Below are 17,066 nucleotides of genomic sequence, written 5' to 3' on the forward strand. Positions count from 1 at the left end.
TTTTTGATCTATAATTTCTATAAATTTTGAGTGGCAGGAATATTTCTTCATTATCTTATATTTCCTTGTTTCCTAGAAACCTGCACTAGCATTTTCACCTCAACTATTCCAATATGAATTCCAAATCAAAAAGTTCACTGAAACTCTTCTTGAGCTCTGTATTGTTGTACCCAATGAGTAATTTTCATTGTCACTTAAAATGTTCTCCTCTCTTGAGCCCTGAGAAATAAAATATCCACAGGCACCGCTTCTCAATCTACTGTGCTGGATCCTACTTTATTACTTGACTGCTAAATATTATAGTGTATCAAGGCTCAATCTTAAATCCTGTTATCTAGCAGATTCTCTTTATAATTCATATTATTTAAACTTGTAACTTTTAATTTTATTTATATGATGATGATTTTCAAGTAAATCCCACTCTGACCCCCAAAGTTACCATTAGTCATTTTGCAACTCAGCCTAAACATCTGATATCTCATTAAAATATGTTAAAAATGAAACTTGCTTTCCCATAATCCACACTGATTCCTTTCTCCATTATGTCATCTTAATAAATATTATTCTATTCATCTAGATGCAGAAGTAGAACTCTCCGTCATAGCTAGCAATTGTCTTGGGGATTTTTGTCTGTTTACTTTTTTCAAAAATCTCTCTACACCAGAATTCAGGGAAAAGAAATAAGAAAAGGATATTTCCAATTTCATTTTACCCAATATCTCCACTATGTAGCATAGTTTGTTTTACATATTTAATATTCATAAAAGGAGATGAATAAATAAATGAATGCTGAATTCGGAACAAATATAAGCACAAGGCTTTCATTATAGCATTGTATCATTAGATCTTATTTATTTCAACTTGATTAGGCTTCCAAATTCTGCGGATGCTTAGCTGCAAACTAAAGTTATTTAATTATCAGGACAGATTCGCTGTTCCTTAGAAAGCTACTGTGGCATCATAGTTTACCATGCCTTTGGAGTCTCTGTACAATTGTCCAATTTCAGTTATATTTTTCTCCTATTGGTACTTTTCGGATTCTGGCTTTGCTATTCATAAGACATATGATCTTGAGCAAATTATTTAGCTCATCTTTAAAATGAGTGACAAAAGAACAGAGAATATTAGATAATACATACAATGTGTTTTAAATAGTGCTTAGTAACTAGAAGATGGTACTACTGCTACTACTGCTATTATTATTACTAAAGTCTGAACATCTCTAATCCAAAAATCTAAACTCCAAAATGTTCCAAAATCCAAAACATGACACCGTAAGGTGAAAATTCAACACCTGACACCTTTGCTTTTTGCTAATTTAGTGTACACAAACTTTGTTTCATGTATAAAATTATTTAAAATGCTGTATAAAATTACCTTCAGTCTGTATGTATAAGGTATATATGAAACATAAATTAATGTTTTGTTTAGACTTGGGTCCTATCCCCATGATATTACATTATGTATATGCAAATATTCTAAAATTTTTAAAAAGTCAGAAATCTCAAACATTTCTATTCCTAAGAATTTTGTATAAGGCATACTCAACCTGTACTATTGTTAATGGAGATAATGTTCCTTTCTAGCCATTTGTTTTCAAATAAGTAGAAGTAAATAAAAAATAATCACACACAAATATGTATAATATAAATTCCTTATAGTCTATAATTTAATTTTCTATAACATAATAGTAGTGTAAACATAAACTTGCCATACATATTTTGCACTTAAGCAAAGTTCAAGAACATAAAATGTTAAAATTATCCTAAAAAAGAATGTGTAACTGTATGAAACCTGAGCTAAATCCTACTAAAAAAATAGGTATAAACTTCAGAGGGAGTATTTTGTTTCTTTTATATCTGGATATGTTATACAATAATTAGGCAGTTAAATGTTTTAAATTTGATCTAAGATAGGTTAATTGCTTTTCCTAAGTTGCCGGTAAGTAGACATAAATGCATCAATTCACATTACCTTTTTAAAAAACCAGTGATAAACAAAAAACTGCAATTGCCTACCTAAAAAAGTGATCCTGTCTCCACTTTAGCAAAGGAAGTTGAATTTCTGATTTCTCAATTTTGTTTGTTACCTAAGTTCAAACAGCAAGCACTCAATATCAATCTCTGGCCATTTTATATAAAGAAATGCAAACAACAATTAGGTCATACAGTGATTGATCCCCTGAAGGACAAATGATGTCAGGCAGTATTTATGCACCAAAATTATTTCAATTTTGCTTACTTTTCCAGCAATCCACCTTGATGTCAACTACCATTTAGCTGGGCCAATAATATTGATATTTGATGTCAGTTCTTATTCATTACTGCACCAAGATGATGCATAAGTCAAAACTTTTAGATGTGTGGTGAAAAACACTAAAGCAGGTTCTGTCTATCCAAGGAAATTGGAAACAACAATAGAATATAAAATTAAGGCATATGTAATCTCCATTTTTATTTTAGAAAATATTTAAATTATGTCAATATTCCTACATATTCAAAAAATAATTTTATATCTCAAGCCCATCCTATACTATGTGATTTTTTAAACTAAATATTTTATGAAATTAACTTTTTGCCTTAATACTTTTTGTACTTTGGAAAGAAAATAATTTCTAGTAAAAAGTGAAACGCTTTAAAAAAGTAAAGCAAAAGAAAAGCATTTGTATAAGCAGCCATTAAAAAAATTAATTAGAATATAAGGTAACTATAATAAATTAATAGAAGTATTCTATCTTTATTTCTACTTTGTTTTGGTGTTAGAAATCTAATACTGTAAATGACTACAGATAAAAATGATACATTTAAGATTCTATTGCACCACCCCCAAATTTTAACCTCCAATCACTCCTATAGTCAAATGGAGTTCATTTCATACATTTGTCATTTTGTTGATGGGTCTATGAAAATTGAAAGCAACATAATTATGTCATATTTCTTGACATTTCCTCTTTGACCAAAAAAAATCAATCGTTTGTTTTCTATATATGTATCTTTGGATAACTTTAAAACCTTTTGGCATATATGAAAACAGTTCAGTAGTGAAATTTCTACTTAGCAACCCTTTACATCAACTGTGTCCTGGCACTAATCTAAATAGTGAGAGTTCAGCAATGAAAAATACCAAGTCCTGTCCTCAGGAACCTTATATTCTCTTAATAATCAGAGACAATAAACCAGTAAATAAGTGAATAATCTCAGGAATATGAAGTGCTACCTATCAAGAATCAATCAGGTAGAAAACAGCAATAAGGTGAGAGTTGGGGCTTAAAATGCAATGATCAGAGAGAGATTCTCTGAGAGAATAAAGAAATCCTAAAAGTTCTGAAGGAAGATAACTCAAGCATAGGCAATAAGAGAGGCCAAGTTCCTGAAGTGGTGACAACATGGTCCCGTGGAGGAATAGCAAAATCGGGACACATAGAGTGAACTAGGAATAGATTAAACAGGTGGAATATCTTGAATCATATAGATAACTGATTGGTAATGTCACCTATACAAAGATAACCCAGCTATGAGAAGTTTGTAATGGATTTTTTTATGTGACTAATACCTTAAGTTTTTTTAACCCTAGAATTCTTAGCATAATTCTCAGTATAGAAGCACTAATCAATAAATATTCATTGACTAGGAAGTGTCAGAAAGTCACTGTAGGTCAGAACTGAAGGGATATTTAAGAGGACATAGGACCATGTTTGCTGTGACACAACAAAATTTATTTTCTATCATTGATTTTAAATTTTATTTTGAAATTTAATATACTTTGCAGACTCCCCATGATTGTTTTGAGCATATGACTGCCAAAACTAGTTCAAAATATTTTATTTTTTTATAAGAAATAATGTCACTGATCAGGATATTTGACCACTCAGACAACTGGTCTTCCAATACAGTAAAATCTCATTTAAACAGGTTTCACAGTACGAAATTGTTCTAAGTAACGTGAAAATATCAACATAAAATGATACACTCCTCTCTAATTAGGATTTATTATAGCCAGTCTTAATTTGCATGTGATTTAAAAAGTATAAAAAACTACATGTATGATAAACAGCATGAATTTTTAAGATTGTTTTACATAACAGGGATAATGTCTAATGCATGAAACATTGTTTTTGAAGCACATAATTAGAGCAAAAATAATTGTCACACCAATTTACTCATAAGCACAATTACAAGAAAACTTGATTATCCCCTTTAATGTAATTTTCCCCACTTAATTGTATGTTGGTGGATGAATGTGACCCTGTGAGTCCATACTTGAAGAAGTGACTGTTAGTTAACATGCAAAACCACGGGCAGAACAAGAGAGTCTGCCCTTTCTCTGGAAGAGATTTAATTTGTATACCAAGTGGCTCTGCAGGGAAACTGTTTTAAAAGGTACATCTTCCAGCAGGATGGGCTGGAATTTCCTGGAGCACCTTTCACCTTGCCCTTGGGCTGTCATGTGCATCATCACCTTGCTCTGCCATTTACTCAATAGCTAGACCTAAACACTCAACAGTTTTCTAACTAAAGGAATTTAATCTGCTACCTAGATTGCATTCAGAAACCTAAATTCATTGAATTTTTTTCTGAAACCATTCAAGTTTTTATATATGTTTTCTTTTTTTTTAAGATTTAGCAAATATTCCCTGACTTGTTATTTGGGTGGTTGTGAAGTGAAAGAACCTTTTGTTTCTAACTTTAATACCTGGTTGCATTTAGATCCCTTATTCCACCTGAGCTGGAGAAAGTTAGGACCACAGAGAATCTTAAGTATACACTCTGTTTCTTTTTCATGAGGCTTGATACTGGAATTGGCTGCAGTCATTTAAAATGTTCTCTTTTTAGTCTGAGGGATAGAATTTTTTTCTAAGGAATAGCTGGTTTTCAATTTTTACAGACTGAAATACAAAGTTATGAAATAAATCAAGTCATTACATTATGAATTGCTTTTCTATCATGTTATGTTTTGTATACCTAAAATGGTAAAAACAGACTTTTTTGGATGTGTGAGGTTGTAACTTCGCCCTCTCCAGGGTATTATGGATACAATTCCATATCTTCAAAGAAATATGATTGTTTTACTAGTGAAAAAAAATGTAGAATTTCTAAGAAAAAATAAGGCTAGCAAACAGAAGGACAGTCTGTTAGAAATAATTCTTAAAAAGGCTCTACATTTTAGTTAAATATATATAGCTCCACCCTGTAATCTGTTTTTATAAATCAAATTATAGATTTTGGATATTTTATCAAGTCACTTCAATATGAAGTACAGGAAGAAAGATATGGCACCTTTCCTCACCCATCTTAAGGATCATAGCCAAAAGTCCTGTAACAAAAGACAGGTTTACAAGGGAAAAGTATAACAAATGTATTTAATCAGGGTTTTACTTGACATGGGAGCCTTCAGGAATGAAAACTTAAAAGACCCGGGGAAAATTGTCTATTTTGATGCTTAGATTTAATGAAGAATGGACAATCACGTAGAAATGTGATTGGGCAAAAGAATATAATCTAATGGTAATAGACCGAGGGAAGAAATCCAGTAAGGCCTGACTTTCTTTTCCTTCCTTCTTTCCTTCCTTCCTTCCTTCCTTCCTTCCTTCCTTCCTTCCTTCCTTCCTTCCTTCCTTCCTTTTTTTTTTTTTTTTTTTTTTTGGCGTTTCTGTATAGCATTTCTTTCACCTGGCAATGGGGCAGGTCCCACCTCGAATCACGTCTTCAAAATAGAAGAGATGGAGTGAGCTTGCTAGGCTTTACGGAGAAGGGAGAAGGGAGAAGGGATGGATTGAGCTTCCTAGGTTTTATGGCTTTCTTTGGGGGAGAGAAGTTTCCGTTTCTATGACTCGCCTTAGGGAAGAGGAGTTCTGGTTTCTATGACTCATTCATGGGAGAAGGAGGGTCGGAAGACAGGAAGGTGGAGAAGGTCAGAGGCCCTTCCAATTTCCTTCATTTCAAAGTATTCAGCACACCAAGGAGCCATACTTCAGGGTGTCGTGTTCTGAGCTCCAACAGTGGCAACAGCCAGGCCTGGTTTATGGTCATCAACATGAATCTTGGTATTGTAAACATTATGATGACACAACCCTATTCATATATTATCAACTTTATGTATATAATGGAACTTCTCTGAATTTATGTGACTGTACTTATGCACATATTAAGAGAAAATAAATCCATTGCAGGTTATCCCAGCAATGTTATTGCAGTGAGCACTATATTAATCAATAATAATTAGCTACTTTAAAAGACTCTTGCCAAATTGAGGAACACCTTAGGTTACTATCACAATAAATAAACAGATCTTACAGATTGTGTATCTACATCATGTAATATCTTCTGCAATGATCAAACAGCAAAAGTACATTGTTGTTAACAATAGTAATTAACACATTGCTCTCATCTTTGCTAGATGATTTGTTTTATTTCTCTATGGTGTATAAAACATACATATATATTTTTAAAAGGATTATCCCCAAGTACTTAAGAAATGATTATTTTGAAATTACTAGAAATCTGAAGTTGTAAATTTTTTGTAGTAAGTTCTCTGTAAGTGTTTGTGAAACTGAATTCAGTAGATAAAAATATTTTTTCCCACAAGGGAAAAGAAATAGATTTGATGGAATTTTGCAGTTTGCCACTATGTCAGCTGCTAATATGGACATTCAGGATTCCAAATCCCTCTTTGACCTCTAATCACTGCTGCAGAAATCTAGTGCTTCTCTAATTGTCAATCCCTGCCCTCTGCCTTTCATATCTTGGAGAATATAAAAGGACTGACTTCCTCCCTGGATAAAGGACAACAGATTAATGAAATTAAGTGTCTGCCTCATTAAAATTGTCATCCCTGGTTTACTATTTCAAGTGCAGTATCAACTGTGGCTAGCTTTTACTCTTCAGGGGGTCCAGTGATGTTCAGTTTCTTATGTAAATTTATGCAAAAACTACTCCAACAATATCACATGCTGTTCCTTTCAAACCCCAAAAGGAATGCTGTGTTTCTTTATCTGGTAGATGGAAAGAGCAGAGTGGGAGTGAGCTGAGTTACAGGTTAACAAACAGAATACTGGTCTATCCAAGGAGGAGGAGAGTTTGGAAGGAAAACACAATATTTATTTTCAATTGTGTTAAATCAAAGATTCACCTGTATGTATTTCATTTTTATCTGTAAATATTTCCAAAATGTAAATTTACATGGCAATGCATTTTATTTTGTTTAGGAGGATTACAAATTAGCCAGGATGATTCCATAGCTCATGAAGATCTAGAATCATGTCTTACCCTTTTCCCTACTGCATCAGTCCTGTCCTCTTCCTCACCACACACCCTCACCCGGCACTAGGCCATTCTGGCAGGGAAAGCTTGTCTGGGTGATACTTAATGAATGACTAATCATGTTTTCAAAACTCTTTATAAAAGAAGTTTCATCATCTTAAAGTATGTACAAATTTCTTTGGTCAGTTTGTTATAACAAAATAAAAAGTAGACCAGTGGTGAGATAGAAACAGACTGTTCTAGAAAAAAGGGTGGGTTAGAGCAGCTTGATTAAATGTATTAAAAAGTGGTAGAATTTAGTATTTGGCAAATTGATATTTTAAAGCACTTAAATGTCCTTTAATTCTCAAGTTGAATCACCCATCATCATGGGTTGTTTTAGGAAGTAAAATTATCAGTGTAGGCTTCATTCAAATGTAAATAACTATGGCATAAGTGCCTCATTTAAAAATAGTTGTTCAGAAGAAAATAAGCTGACGGGCAGGGGGAAAACCTCTCAAGTTATAATCATTTCAGGAAAGTACATCCTGTGTATATGTCTATCTGTGTGTATGTGAATTGCCCAGTTGGGTGGCCACATTAATTGTGCATATGTGTCATATTATGATTGCTTTAAGATTGGTTGGGAGAGTTATTGGCATGTTTTAGTTAAATCTTATATTTCTCAGTTTAATTGAGAAAGCAACAAGAGAGATTTTAAAACTCTAAGCTCTACTCAAGGCTTTTCATTGTCTGGTTATGCTCACTAGTGAGCCACAACCTTCTCCACTGTCCCCTAACCCTTCTTATATTTACCCTCAACTTTGGCCAGTTCCAAGATTGCTGTGCCAAAATCAATTAATATGCATCCAAATTGAATGAAAACACTCCAAAGAAATATCTTTAATCTGATTTACATATGAATTTATTCCTGTCTTCTTATCTAACGGATTTCAATTCAACCAGATTTAGTTTCAGATCCCAACTATCACTTACCAGTTGTGTGAATTAGAAGTAGCCTAAATTTTCTCATATGTAATATGGTGATATTACCTAGTGCCTCATAAATTCATCAAGTTTACCTTGTTGGATGCTAGATATTTTGTATTTTTACAAATAGTCTTGAACTTTGTTCTGGAATGCTGTCAAGTTACTTAGAAACTGGTTAGTACTTCCAGATTTGTTAGGTGGGAAAGAAGCAGTGCTCAAACTAGGGCTAATTACTTCCCCGCTACTAAAGCGGGGAAGTACCCCTTCTTTGTCTTCTAATCTACCCAGTGACCTCAAATCTTGAAATTTTTCATTCTGTCTGTTAGGGCAGTCCTCACTTTCCCAGTGTAATCTGAACATCTTTTCGTGTTCCCTCTAATCATTTCAGGTAGTTCTTCCTAGGCCCCTAAGTAATTTCCTCACAGTCATATGCCAATCATTACTGAGCTAAATACTAGAGGAGGTTTCTCTGCAGATCTCCAGGGTTTTCTCTGTGCAACTCTCACCTCACCTCTTCTGTACACTCTGCCTCGCAAATTCTACCTGCCTTGGCATCCCTGGACCCTCAGCTTCGTTTCTTTAATTAGGGAGTCTGCTGTGCTTTGTTTCAGTTCCCTGTCCTTGTGTTATGGGATAGAAATCGTCAAGGTAGTATGTCAACGTAGTCTTCTCTGGCTGACTTCATTCGTTTTCATCTCTTGATGATTATTGCCCTTTGTTACCTAATATGCAGTGTCTTGTAAACCATTGTTTTCTATATTTTGTCCAGGTTTTTGGTTGTTTCAGGCAGGAGGATATACCTGATCCCTTTGACTCCATTGTGACTGGAAGTCTTTTTTAGCATCTGTTTTTAAGTGTCAACAGATTTCACCAGAAGATATGCAATTGTAATAATAATAGCATTATTTTTAACATTTATAGTTAGCCCTTCCTCCTATACAAAATAAAAGTTGGCAGTATGTTTGAAGAAGACCTTAATTATAGTTCTGCTTGGACCATGAATTTCATGCGAAGGCTTAGACAAATCCCTTAATTTCTCAAGACTTTACTTTTCTATTCCATGGAATACTTTGATCTGGACAACTTTTATATTATCTTTCAGAAATATATTGATAATCACTAACATTTTCCTTTTGAAATTGAGAAAAACTATAGACTATGAATGCATGACTTATAAGGCTTTTTAGAGAAGCAAGGATTTATTTTCAACACCTGGTTTTTCTGAACTCTGAAAGATTCTTTGTGACTCAATACTTACCGGTATTAACAAAAAACCATGAGATCTGTAGAGGAGAAAAGAAGAGCTTTATTTTCTTAACAATAATCTCAAATTGGGGAGGCATAGCCTACAATACAAGTGAGCGTGCCTTCCAATGAACAAAGTGGGGGTCTGGCTTCAATAGAGAAAATTCTCACCCCAGTTCTCAACCAAATCCATTTATGCAAATGAAGCATTCAAACTTATTCAGTTCTGATTGGTTGAAATAGATAAGCCCTGATTGGCAAGCTTCCAAGCCCCAAACTGGAAGTCTCTAGCAGCCGGTGTGAGAGTTTGAGGGTCGTGGCCACAGTTTATCTTGACAACAACAGAAACTGGTTTGGATTAATCACAGAAAGGGAGGTTTTGTGACACTTTTACAACACCTTTCTGAGAACATGGAGTACTTTCTGAGAACACAGCTCCCTCACTTGGCTGTGGCCACCTGGTTCTGTATTAACTTTGAGAACCTCAGTCAGCCATGAAGACTTCATTTTGTCTGTTGGCCAGAGGCATGCTTTAACACTAGCAAACACCACAGCAAACCTGAGATCTTTCTTCTGACATACAGAGTGATGCCAAACTGTAAAAATTTAACACCACTCGCTCTTCAGATGTGGAGTAGTAAGCTTCAATTTTTACTTCATATCTCTTTGGTTTTATTTCTTCATATTCCAGAAACCCTACTGCCCTGCTTTGACATTACAGTATGTTACTATGTAAATATATCAAAAGATATTGCTGCAATGTGACAAGTCACATCGGCAGAAAACACCAAGGGCCTATAAGACAAAGATCTCATACATGAATATCTGAAATAATGCCAATAATGACACTGAAAATGAAGTAAACTCACATGAGAGTCAGAACATTTTTTTAGTGCTTTTAGAAGAGGCTCACTGCCAGAGGGAGAATGCATCAATTTCATATGCCATGTAAGGAACTTCCATTTCTCCTTGAATAAAACGTTAGTTTCAAAAATTGTCTTTAGAGTAGAAAGACTCTCTGTGATTTATTAAACCTTCTTCTCCCCTTCACCTTCAGAAATCCACTAATTTTGCATCGTATTTGGCAGCCAGGAAGTTGGGCCAGTCTATATTCAATTCCTTCAGGACTGTGCTTTCAATTTGGCATCTGCAAAATAAGCATTATGCTAGGTGTCGTGGGAGATTCAAACAAGTAAAGATCTAGTCCTTTTTCTTGATAAACTAGGCTAGGTGTGGTAGCTCAAACTTCTGAGAGTTTGACAACAGTCTGAGAAACACAGCGAGACCCCATCTCTACCAAAAAAAAGTAGCTGGGCATATTGGCATGCACCTGTGGTCCTAGTTGCTTCGGGAAGTTGAAGTGGGAGGATGGCTTGAGAGCAGGAGTTTGAGATTACAGTGAGCTGTGATCATGCCACTGTACTCCAACCTGGGTGACAGAGCAAGACCCTAACTCAAAATTAAAAAAAAAAAAAAAATCAAACTCTATCCACAAAGTAGGTAACTATTTGTTTGTATAAGGTAACATGTTATAAGTGCCAAAAGTGGCTAACTAAAAGTCAGTGGAGAAAACTTATATTTACACAAAAACCTCCACATAGAGTAGCTTTATTCATAACTGTGAAAACTTGGAAGCAACCAAAATGTCCTCCAGTAGGTGAATTGATAGAGAAAGTATGGTACATCCAGACAATGGAATGTTACTCGGGACTTAAAAAAAAAATGAACTATTAAGCCATGAAAAGAGATGGCATAAACTTAAATGCACATTACTAAGTGAAATAGCCACTCTAAAATGGCTACATACTGTATGACTCCAACTATGTGACATTCTGGAAAAGGCAAAACTGTAGAAACAGTAAAAAGATCAGTGGTTGCCAGGGGCTGGAGGGAGGGAGGGATGAATAGACAGGGCATAGACAATTTTTAGGGTGGTGAAAATACTCTTATAATGATGGTTACACTTGTCTAAACCCATAGAACGTACACCACCAAGAGTGAACCCTAATGTAAACTGTGAGCTTTGGATGATGAAGATGTGCTAATGTAGGTTCACCAATTGTAACAAGTGTACCACTCTGGTGGCAGATATTGCTAGTGTGAGATGCTATGCATGTGTAGGGGAGACAGGACATATGAGAAATCTTCATACTTTCCTCTTAATTTTGCTCAGAACCTAAACCTGCTCTAAAAAAAATAAAGACTTTAAAAATAATCAGTGGGTATATCGGGTATAATTCTTGAAAGAGTTCTATTGCAAATATGAGAAGTTTTGCTTTGACTTTCCAGGTATGGAAATAATGATTCATTCATTCATTTGTTCAAATATTTACTAAGTATATAATATAAACCCAAAACTGAATGTGTAAATGATCTGGAACAGTACTGTCCAATAGAACTTTCTGTAATAAAAAGATGATTTTTAATCTAAAATGTCCAATGTGATAGGTGCTAGCTACATGAGGAGATTTTTAACTAATTAAAAATAAGTAAAACTGAAACTTCAGTTCCTCAGTTGCTGTAGTTACATTTAAAGTACTCAGTAGCCACATGTATTAAACAATGGTCTAGAATGAAAAGACGGGCATGTATATAAGAGATTGCAGTTTTGTAACATGAATTTATGGAAGCAACAGAAGGAATACATTGTGTCACTTAGAGGACTTTAGAAGAAGTTGTGTTGGAGCCAAGTTTTAAGAATGGTTGATATTTACCAGAAAAATAAATAAGGAATGAGTATCCCAGTCAGTGGAAACTAAGAAGAAAAGCATGAGGACTTGGTGCATTTGAGGAATAGCCAATAGAGTAACATATGGGGAAATTTAAGGAAGATGATAGGCAGGAAGGAGGCAGGTCAAATTTACATTTGAGAGTCTCAAATTTGCATTTAAAAATGACTGTCATGGCTGGGCCTATGCCTTGTAATCCTAGCACTTTGGGAGGCCTAGGCGGGCGGATCACCTGAGGTCGCGAGTTCGAGACCAGCCTGACCAACATGGAGAAACCCCGTCTCTACTAAAAATACAAAATTAGCCAGGCGTGGTGGCAGACGCCTGTAATCCCAGCTACTGGGGAGGCTGAGGCAGGAGAATCACTTGAACCTGGGAGGCGGATGTTGCAGTGAACTGAGATCGTGCCACTGCACTCCAGCCTGGGCAACAAGAGTGAAACTCCATCTCAAATAAAATAAAATAAAAAAAATAAATAAATAATAATAAAAAAAAAACCTACCATTAGCATAGAGCAAGGTTTGGCAATACTGATTTTATGGACTGGTAATTCCCTGTTGGAGGTGGGGGCTATTTCGTGCATTATAAGACTTTTATCAGCATCCCTGGCCTCCATCAACTGAATTCCAGGGGCACTTTCTAGTTGCGAAATCAAAGATGTCTCTGGACATTGCCAGAAGTCCTCTGGGAAGAAAAAATCACCTCTATTTGAGAAACTTTGCTGTAAAAATGGCCTTCCAAGGCTGGGTGTGGTGGCTTACGCCTGTGCACTTTGGGAGGTCGAGGAAGGCAGATCACTTAAGGTCAGGAGTTCGAGACCAGCCTGGCCAACGTGACGAAAATTCTCTACTAAAAAATACAAAAATTATCCAGGCGTGATGATGCATGCCTGTAATCCCAGCTACTCCGGAGCCTGAGGCAGGAGAATCACTTGAATCTGGTAGGTGGAGGTTGCAGTGAGCTGAGATCACACCACTGCACTCCAGTCTGGGTTACAGAGCGAGACTCCATCTCAAAAATAATAATAAAATAAAATAAATAATAAAATGGCCTGCAAAGATAGAGGGTTGAAGTGAGGAAGTTCACTGCATGTGTCCCAGTGTGAGTTGATGACAGGCTAAAATAAGGGATTTTTGGAGGCAAATTTCAACTGAATAGAATTGGAAAGGAAAGAGATGGAGAATGGGATAAAAAGCTCTGGTGATTGCCTGGAGTTTGGATCCTTTTGTTGAAATGGAAAGTGCAGCAGAAGGCTCAAGTTGAGGAAAAGATTAATTTGGCTTTGAACAGGATGACATTGAGGTACGTGGGGAACTTCCAAGTGAGAAATGCTATCAGTAGTTGGAAATAAAGACCTGGAATTTAAGAGAGAGTTGTGAATTGGAGATGTAGATTCAAGAGTCATAAACATCTTAATATTAGTTGAAATCATGGGAATACTCCTTTGTGCTTCCAGCAGTCTGGACTTAATGACGACTCATAGTTTCTGACTGATCTCCAAATCCACGCTTTTTGAATCAATTCAACACATAGCACCTGTTCTTTCCTGATTTCATATATGAAAAGACTTTGAAGTCTACACTGGCCTATTTACTGTTAGCGCTTCTGCCTCAGGGCCCTTGATCTTGCTCTTCCCTCTTCCTGAATCACTCTTCATTCTCACAGCACAACTTGGCCCCACAAATCCATTAGGTCTTAATTCAAAGGTCACACATTCCTAGTCTTGACAGGCTATTTGTATTTCAACACCCTGTCTGCCAAACATTCCTTGTCTACATTTTTAAAAATTCTCCATAGCTTTTAACATTTAACATACCACATATTTTACTGATTTATTTAATTTATTGTATGTTTCTTTACAGAAGCATGCCCGTTCCGTGAGGCTTGTCCACCACCTAAAATCGGCACAGGCTCCATAAATATTTGTTTGATGAATGAAGAGATAGGTTTTCTATAGAATGAGGCAAATTTGCCCGAATTCAGTCAACCTCTTACTTATAACAAACTTGAGTACCACAAGAAAGCAATCTTCACTTGTTTTTCAGGATCTCAGAGACACAGTCTTGCACTAGATAATACCTTCTTAACTTACTGAGACTAGTGGCCTTCAACATTCCCTTTAACGTATCGATATTTATGTACAAAACACATAAGAACTTTTTTTACATCATATGTAAAATTTACATTCCTCAGTGTGAGCTCCAGAAACTTTGGAATTTTTACACATTGTTAACCTCATCATTAATTCACCACATTCCCCATGGAGTAGTATGTTAATTTCTGCTTTGTGCTCTGACATTGTGCCGTTTTCGATAAAAATGACACCTTCCTGCCTTCTCTTCCCTATTATTTGTCCATAATCTTCATCTATCTAAAACATTACATTTCCAGAAAGCTGTATTCACCTGATGAATTTATCCTAGTGTTCCGCTCCTAGAAGATACTTTCTTAGATTCTACAGTCTTGAATTAGGTGATCAATTTGTATTCTAAACAATACCTACTTCTAGCATTTAACTCTTCTATTGTAATTGCCTAGTTACTCCTCTCTCTGACAATCAACCAGAAGCTTGTTGAGGTCATATATTAATTGTTTTTCTTCCTCTTGGTCCAAGCCAGGGTCACAGTAGAGTTCAGTAAATATTAGTTGCTTTATATACATTGTCTTTATTTCTAGTTACTCTTCTGCCTTGTCAATTTAAACACCTGCTTGCTTGATTTGTTCTTTGTTAATACATGTGGTACTTGTTGACATGCTCCTAAAGCTCTGTTAGCTGTTTTGGTGTGTTTTACCCCAATAACAAAGTATGCATGTTTATGCATCTAAGTGGTTTCATGGGTCCCGGAGTTCGGATGTCTGACCCCTCCAAATCTCATGTTGAAATTTAATTTCCAGTGTAATGGTGTTGGAAGGTGGGACCTAGTAAGAGGTGTTTGGGTCATGGGAGCAAATCTCTCATGAATAGATTAATGCCTTCCCTGAGGGAGGGGATGAGTGAGTTTCTACTCTTATTTCCCACAAGAGCTGGTTGTTAAAAATAACCTGGAACTTCCTCTATCTCTCTCTCTCTCTGTCTCTCTGTCTCTCTCTCTCTCTCTCTCTCTCTCACTCTTGCTTTTCTCTCTTGCCATGTGATCTCTGCACACACTGGCTCCCCTTGCCTTCTGCCATGAAAAGAAGCAGCCTGAAGCCCTCACCAGAAGCAGATACTGGCGCCATGCTTCTATAGTCTGCCGACTGCAGGAATATCGGAGGCTGGGCAATTTATAAAGAAAAGAGCTTTGGGTGGCTCACAGTTCTGCATGTTATACAAGAAGTATGGTGCTGTCATCTGCTTTTGGTTAGGGTTTCAGGGAGCCTCCACTCATGGCAGAAGAGGAAGGGGAGCTGACAGGTAGAGAAGGGGAGTGTAGCTGTCACATGGTGAGAGAGAGGAAGAGAGAGGGGGTAGTGCCAGGCTGGTTTTAACAAGCAGCTCTCACAGAAACTAGTAGAGTGAGAACTCACTCACTACAAGAATGATAACAAACCATTCATGAGTGAGCCACACCTATGACTCAAAAATCTCTCACCATGCCCTACTCTAACACTGGGGATCATATTTCAACATGAGACTTAGTGGGGCCACACTAACCATATCCAAACCATAGCATCAGGTTTTCAATTCCGAGCCTGTGTTTTGCTAACCAAATGACTCTGGGCAAGTTTAATAACTTAAACCTTGGTTGTCTCATTTGTAATATTGAGCAGTACCAGTACCTAACCATAAAGATGTAGAATTAAATGAGATAGTACATATAAATCACTTTGTACAAGTTATTGTAATGATGTAGTGCTGTGTTGTGTACTTTAGCTGCTCGGTAATTATTTTTGAGATTTCCAGCTCATATCCATGGAGCATGATTGGTGATATGGTAGTTGTTAATGCCTAACAGACTGATGATGGCATAGGAAAGAAGTATACACCCAAAATTACAAACTTATCCACATCTTTCCAGTGCTCTATATTTCCTCCTTCTTTATACTTGAACTTTCTAAGCATTCCCAAATCTTACCTTCTCTTTCCGTTCTAATTCCATAATTTATTTGCTTTATTTGTGCCATTAGAGTATTGAGGAAATGGTGTAATGAGCTATTGCTTAATGCTGCATAGGCCTGTCCTAAGAGACATGCTAATGTATCAGTACTAAAAATGTTTGAAATACTAATTTTCCTCCTAATGAGCCTAAACATTTTATTATAGTTATACCTTAATACCAAGTTGCAGGTCATTACCTTCACATATTGAAGGCAGCTGATGTTTCCCGGACTTAATGTCTCTGCCATTTGCTTGATGACCCCTCTTACTTGCCCATTTTGCATAGCAGAATTTTAGAAAATAAAAATTAGATCACTTGACAGGTACTGTGTGTGATGTTTTGATTTCATTATTTCTTTATTCAAAAATATTTTTCTGATGATAAAAATTAATGTATGATAATTTCATGAAATCTAACTTTTTAAATTGAAAAGAACAAATAAAATTAATGTGCATTGGCTTACTACCTGAAGATAACCATTTCTGATTTATTTTCAATATATGCTTTGTGTATACATACAACATAGACAATTTTGCATGCTGCTATTTTCATTGAACTACATATTTTTTCGTCATTAATAATCTTCGGCAATGCCATTATAATAGTTTAGTTATATATTTATATATGTTATCTAATGACATATATATTTGGAAATGCCAAAATATAGTTTAGCTATATAATTATACATGTTATAGTTTTATATATTTGTGTATATATGTATGTGTTATCTATTGATGATTTTTTAGGTTTCTACAGTTTTAGCTTGTAAATAATAGTGTGAGGAA

General features: G+C 35.6%; 1 protein-coding gene across 15 annotated transcripts in view, besides 1 other annotated feature; it reads left to right on the forward strand.

The window, feature by feature from the left end:
* SPAG16 (sperm associated antigen 16) overlaps positions 1 to 17,066 on the forward strand; it is a 1,126,038-nt gene that overhangs the window by 835,977 nt on the left and 272,995 nt on the right. The window lies entirely within an intron of this gene.
* Positions 6,526 to 7,198: an enhancer, noted in NCBI's record as "OCT4-NANOG hESC enhancer chr2:214991690-214992362 (GRCh37/hg19 assembly coordinates)". NCBI's record gives its function as "activates a minimal SCP1, AML or CMV promoter by ChIP-STARR-seq in naive and primed H9 embryonic stem cells {active_cell/tissue: H9 hESC(naive and primed)}" and the evidence as "EXISTENCE:reporter gene assay evidence [ECO:0000049][PMID:30033119]".

This window comes from Homo sapiens, chromosome 2 (assembly GCF_000001405.40).
Source record: "Homo sapiens chromosome 2, GRCh38.p14 Primary Assembly".
Classification (NCBI taxonomy): domain Eukaryota; kingdom Metazoa; phylum Chordata; class Mammalia; order Primates; family Hominidae; genus Homo; species Homo sapiens.